We start from the raw sequence: 6,680 nt of genomic DNA, 5'->3' as shown, positions 1-6,680 counted from the left end.
TCCATGTCCTGCCCCGCCCCACCCCAGCACCGAATTGCAAACATGGTACGATGATAACTCTTTCCCTGAGGCAGGGGGTTAGGGATGGCTCAAGACAAGGCATTACTGGAAGCTTACTTAGCAGGAGGGGTAAGAAGCCGTCTTCCAGGTGGAAAAGGGGAGGAAGGGCATTTCAGTCCGAAGGAAAAGCTCTTTGCAAAGGTGCACTTTTCTATACCACCTGGACTTTGTTCCAAACCCTTACTCCTCCTTCCTCTGGCAGCTTTCTGTCATGGACAGTGCTCTGATGCCAGATGCTGGCTGGCCTTGATTGCTTTTGGCTTCTGGACCTGGTTTCTTGGTTTGTTTGTTCTTTGCTTATTTATTCCCTATGTGTTAGGCACTGCACTAGGTACTGGAGACGACTCCTGAAACTCCCACTTAAACAGAGGCCAGTACGGAAGAACACATTGTATGCTGAATGTTAGGAAGGAGCAGTCAAGATGACCAGGTATGTGGCCATTGACAGGTACCCCACCCAGAGCTGCTTGTCAGGAAAGGCTCTAGGAAGAGGGGGTACCTTCAGTGATTTGTCAAGGAATTAGCTTGACAAAGGAGATGGAGGTGGGGATACAAGGCAGGGAAGGGTGGGGGTAGAAGGAGTGGCACAGGATGGAGGTGGAGAGAGTTGTTGCAGGCAGAGGCAGCAGCAAGTGCAAAGACCCTGAGGTGGGGAAGGAGCAGGTTTGTCCTAGGAGCTTCCAGAAGGTCACCGTGGCCTTCCCTAAAGAGTGAGGGGACAGTGTCTACAATGAGCCTGGGAGGCAGGCAGGGGCCAGGTTTATGGGCCTCACAGACCTTTGTAAGGAATTTGGATGTTATCCCAATGATACAGGGAAACAGATGGGCGTGGAGGCAGGAAGCCACAGTGAGTTCTCTGATTTCAAATCAGAACATGACTCTACTCCCACGATCCAGCAAGTGTCATACAGCCAAGTTACCCTCCCCCAAAACCTGTAAACTCACCGGAGAGCAAATAAGCTCCTGCTTCAGAGGTTCTTCAATTGATTAAAATCGACAAGTTATTTCTTGTGAGGTTCAGTTTTCAGGTGGTTGAAATCTCTCTTTCTCTTTCTAATTACATGTGGGCCCTGCTTTTCCTCCATCCAGGTCATGTCAATATGTGTCTTGTCTTCTCTTGTGGTTTAATGAGTAGCTACAGCTTCTGTTCTCAAAGTGTGTCCCCCAGACAACCTGTTAGACATGCAAACTCTCAGGCCCAACTCAGATCTTCTGTTACCAGAAAGGAGTCTCGACCCAGACCCCAAGAGTGGGTTCTTGGATCTCATGCAAGAAAGAATTTACAGCAAGTTGCAGAGTGCAGTGTAGTGAAGATAGCTTATTAAAGACTGCTCTATTTCAGAGTAGGCTGTCCTCCAAAAGCAAGAGAAGGAACGCCCCTACCTCAAATACAGTGCTTGCTTGTATAGGATAACAGAGCTGAAAATAATGGCCTTATGTGCTTTACTACAAAGGCTCATGACAAGCTTGTGACAGGCTGTTAGTATTGTTATTCTCTTGTGTAACTATTGATTTTTGCAAAAATTTATGAACCTACTATTATCTCTAAAGCAAAACCTATTCTTAAACTAAGAATGCTTTTTGTTCTTAAGATATTGGGACATCAGGAGATTTCCTTAAGTTCTGAGTCCTGTTCCATTAGTAAGCATCATTAATCTGTTCCCTCAGCCATAAACATCTTGTGACTAGGAGTGCATAGCCTCCTGGGATTGTAACCCAGCAGGTCTGACTTTCTTCAATTCTTATTCAAGATGGAGTTACCCTGGTTCGGATGTCTGTGACACTTCTGAATCAGAAACTCTGGGGCTGAGGCCCAGCCATCTGGATTTTCATAAGCCCTCCTGGTGATTCTGATGCATGCTGGAGTTTGGGAACCACCAGCATAGAGCTTCCTGAAGCTTCATGTGTGGAAAGAACCTCAGGCTGACAAGAAACAACAGATGCTATTGAGGTTGTGGAGAAATAGGAACGCTTTTACACTGTTGGTGGGAGTGTAAATTAGTTCAACCATTGTGGAAGACAGTGTGGCAATTCCTCAAATATCTAGAACCAGAAATACCATTTGACCCAGCAATCCCATTACTGGGTACATACCCCCCAAAATATAAATAATTCTATCATAAAGATACATGGACTCGTATGTTCATTGCAGCGCTATTCGCAATAGCAAAGACGTGGAATCAACCAAAATGCCCATCAATGATAGACTTGATAAAGAAAATGTGCTACATATACACCATGAAATACTATGCAGCCATAAAAAGGAACAAGATCATGTCCTTTGCAGGAACATGGATGGAGCTGGAAGCTATTATCCTTAGCAAACTAATGCAGGAGCAGAAAACCAAACACCACATATTCTCACTTACAAGTGGGAGCTGAACAATGAGAACGCATGGACACAGGGAAGGGAGCAACACACACTGGGGCCTGTCAGGGGGTGGGATGGGGGAGGAAGAGCATTAAGAAAAATAGCTAAAGCATGCTGGGCTTAATACCCAGGTGATGGGTTGATAGGTGCATCAAACCACCATGGCACACGTTTACCTATGTAACAAACCTGTACATCCTGCACATGTACCCCAGAACTTAAAAATAAAAATTAAAAACAAAAGGAACCTGAGACTGAGACCTGGGAGACCTGGGTTCTCTTCCCCTTTACTCATTTCTCTAAAAAATAAAAAATATATTCTGAGACCTACTGTGTACCTTGTACTGCTCTAGGCTCTAGGAGTGCAGTGATGAACCAGACAGACAAGGCTGATTTAAAAAAAAAGGTTGTAAAATTCATATAACATAAAATTAACCATTTTAACCATTTTAAAGTATACGATTCAGTGGTGTTTAGTACATTTGCAATGTTGCACAACCATCACCACCATTTATCCCAGAACTTTTTTTTTGTTTTTTTTTTTTTGTTTTTTGAGACAGAGTCTTGCTCTGTCTCTCAGGCTGAAGTGCAGTGGCATGATCTCAGCTCACTGCAACCTTCGCCTCCTGGGTTTAAGCAATTCTCTGCCTCAGTCTCCTGAGTAGAGTAGCTGGGACTATGGGCGCATGCCACCGTGCCCAGCTAATTTTTGTATTTGTAGTAGAGACGGTGTTTCACCGTGTTGGCCAGGCTGGTCCTGAACTCCTGAGCTCAGGTGATCCACCCGCCTCGGCCTCCCAAAGTGCGGGGATTATAGGCGTGAGTCACTGCGCCTTGCCTATCCCAGAACATTTTGCTACCCCTAAATGAAACCCCTTACTCATTAGGCAGTCACTCCCCATTTCTCCCTCCTTCCAGCCCCTGGCAACCACCAATCTACTTTCTATCCTTATGCATTTGCCTATTTGGGGTATTTCACATAAGTTGAATCATACAATATGTGGCCTTTTGTATCTGACTTCTTTTACTCAGCACATGTTCTTAAGGTCAGCAATGTTGTAGCATGTATCAGCACTTCATTCCTTTCTAGGACTGAATAATATTCCATTGTATGGTTATACCACATTTTATTTATCCACTCTTCAGTTGATAGACATTTGGGTTGCTTCCACCTTTTAGCTATTGTGAGCCATGCTGCTATGAACATTCTTGTACAGGTTTTTGTTTGAGAACCTGTTTGCAATTCCTTAGGGTATATACCTTGGAGTAGAATTGCTGGATCGAATGGTAATTCTCTGTTTAACTTTTGAGGAAACAACAAACTATTTTCCACAGTGGCTGCCCCATTTTACATTCCCATTAGCAAGGTACAAGTGTTACAATTTCTCTATGCCCTTGTCAACAACTTATTTCCCCCTGCCACCCCCTTTTTTTAAATTAAAAATTAAGCCATATGGGTGTGAAGTGGTAGCTTACTGTGGTTTTGATTTGCATTCCCCTAACAACTAATAATGTCAGCATCTTTTCATGTGCTCATTGGCCATTTGCATATTTTCTTTGGAGAAATGTCTATTTAAGTCCTTTATCCATTTACAAATTCTGCTGATGTTTTTGTAGTGACTAGAGCACAGCTTACTCAGGGTGAAATCTTGGACAGGTTACTGAACCTTTCCTGCCTCAGTTCCCTCTTCTGTAAAATGAGGGTTAAGGACAGCATCCACAGTAAAGGGTGGTTGTGAAAATTTCATGGCTCACTGTGAGTAAAGCTTTTGGAACTTTGCTTAGGACATTATCGGTTTGCACTCTGTAATTGATACCCCTTATTATACATGAGATGAGTCTAACAATAGTAACTGAATAAGAAATTACCGGAGATTAATACCTGCTGGGAAATATATAAAACCGTGATGCAACAGAGTGACTGGAAGGCTATTTTAGGTTGGGTGGACAAGGAAGGCTTTTTGGAGGAGGTGACATTTGAGCTGACACCGGAATGACAGGAAGGAGCCGACTGTGTGAAGACCCACGTACAGGAAGGGCATTTCAGGCTGAGGGAATGGCTCAGGGAAAGGTCTTAGGCAGGAACAAGCCTGGCCAGTTCAAGGGGCTGCTTGAGAGAAGGCCAGAGCTGCTTGGGTGGGGGATGGAGAGGCTGGGCTTTCTGCGCATGGGGTCCTGGCTGACAGCAACAGCATGAGAAGGGATAAGCTTTGGAGTCAGGAAGCCAGGGTTGCAGGTCTTTGCTTATTAGGAAAACCTGAGACACATTACTTAGTCCATTTGGAAAAGGCCTCCATCTTCTCATGTTAAAATAGAGGCTGGTTATACCTACTTCATGGGGCTACTGTGAAATGCAAATAAGAAAAACTAAAGTGGGGACACACATTTTAGGTGGCATTAATCGCATCACTGTGGAGTAGGAGCTGCTCAGTTGCAGTTAGCTCATCCCCTCGTCCTGGCCAAAAAGAGAATATGCAGTGTGGGTGTGTCTGAAAATGTGTTTTCACGGAGTGCTAGGGGACCTGTGTTTCTCTACGGCAGTGTTGTGGTTCTTGCAACTTGCTTAGCCTCCCTCCTGCCTTCACACCTTCCTTGGACCTTCCCTCAAGGTCCAGTCCAGTTCAGCTTTTATTAAGCACCCACTGTGCGCCAGGCGCGAATGAGGCTCTGAAGGTGATGACACGGTCTATGTCTTCAAGGAGTTCATCAGACACCTCTTCCACAAGTTGCCTTCCTTTTGCGACAGCCAGAATTACTGCCGCCTGTCCTGCATTGCTGTAGCACTTCATCCTTAGGGAACAAAGGAGGTACACGCAGAACAGCTTGGGTTTTTGAGCCCGTGATGTGCAGACTAGAATCCTGGTCTCCTTTTAACTAGTATCCATGGGGTACACACACACACATACACACACAGCCCAGTGCAGTGGCTGAGAGCACTCTGAAGCCAGGCTGCCTAGATTAAACACTAGACTCACGCTCACTAGTTACTTAACCTCTCTGTGTGCCTCGGTTTTCTCATCTGGGAAATGGAGGCAATAGTAGTACTTACAGGGTTGTGATGAGGATTCCACACAGGTAATTTTAATATAGGTAAAGCACTAGAAGAAAGCCTGGCAGACAAGAGCTATGTAAACATTTGTTTATTAAAATCAACACAAATGAATAAAAACATCAGCTTTGTGACCTGGACAAGCCATGTGACAGCTGGGGCCTCAGTTTCCAAATCTGGGGCTATCATCAGGCTCCAAGGGATAACCGTGTGCACAGTGTCTGGTACTGGGAGTCTCCACAAACGCCACCCCCTTCCTTCCTCTCAGCCCTGTGTCACACTGGGACCCTGTCTGTCTTTCCCGTCACTCCTCAAGAGCAGAGGCACATGCCTGAGCAACAGCACAGAGGCACACTGCTTAAGGTTCTCAGGCATCTGTGTTCTCTGGAATTGGACAAGGAGAGCAGAAATTGCTTCTCTGGTTTGGAAGAGCAAATGGACATGGGGTGTATGTGCGCGCGTGCTTGCGTTGGGGCGGGCGGTGGAGACACAGCACCGGCCACACCCCCGCCAGTCCACACAGAGCTGCTCTGTGCAAAGAGCGACTTGACTGCGACTCTGGCCGCCCGGAGCGAGGGCGGGCGCGGGGGCTGCGAGGGCCCGGTCGGCCACTAGGGGTCAGTGTGTCTCCGCCGCAGGCGCCCGCGCGCCGCTTACCTGATTGGGGCAGGCGCCCGCTGACAGCTCTTGACAGTTTGCAACATTTCCTGCCTAACATTAAAAAAAAAAATTAATTAATGTATCTTTCTCCGTAGTAAAGAAGGGAGCCCAGACAACCGAAATAACAAGCCGGCTCTCTTTGCAGGAAAATGCAGAAGGCGGTTAAACCGTCCCGTCCTTCGCATTCCTGGGCTGGAGGAATAAGGATCCAATTGTGGTTTCTGCGCTGGTTATCTTGGTGCCGCCGAGGGGGCCACCGGGGAAAATCTGCTGAATTCTTCCTTTTCTATTTTCTGCCTCGGCGAGGAGGAGGGCGTTAATGCCGGTTGGCAGTTACATGAAACTGAGATGGATGGTAATGGGGTGTGTTAGCAAACAAGGGCAGGAAATAAAGTGTCATATTTTCTGGAGGGTGAACCGCTCCCCGGAGACAGAGCTGCACCAGGCGTCTGCAGAGGAGACACTTTGAAGGAAAAAAAAAAAAACCCTGTATAATCTCTCTCTCTCTTCACTTTCCTGTGCCTCCTTGGTGAGACATAA

The 6,680-nt window shown here is 46.3% G+C and overlaps 1 annotated feature.

Moving 5' to 3' along the window:
* Window positions 5,949-6,188: a silencer, noted in NCBI's record as "silent region_8739". NCBI's record gives its function as "represses an Ori minimal core promoter by ATAC-STARR-seq in GM12878 lymphoblastoid cells {active_cell/tissue: GM12878}" and the evidence as "EXISTENCE:reporter gene assay evidence [ECO:0000049][PMID:35858748]".

The sequence above is a fragment of the Homo sapiens genome, chromosome 17, assembly GCF_000001405.40.
Source record: "Homo sapiens chromosome 17, GRCh38.p14 Primary Assembly".
Classification (NCBI taxonomy): Eukaryota; Metazoa; Chordata; class Mammalia; order Primates; family Hominidae; genus Homo; species Homo sapiens.
The sequence above is the reverse complement of the archived record's forward strand: the minus strand, read 5'-3'. Positions and strand labels throughout refer to the sequence as shown.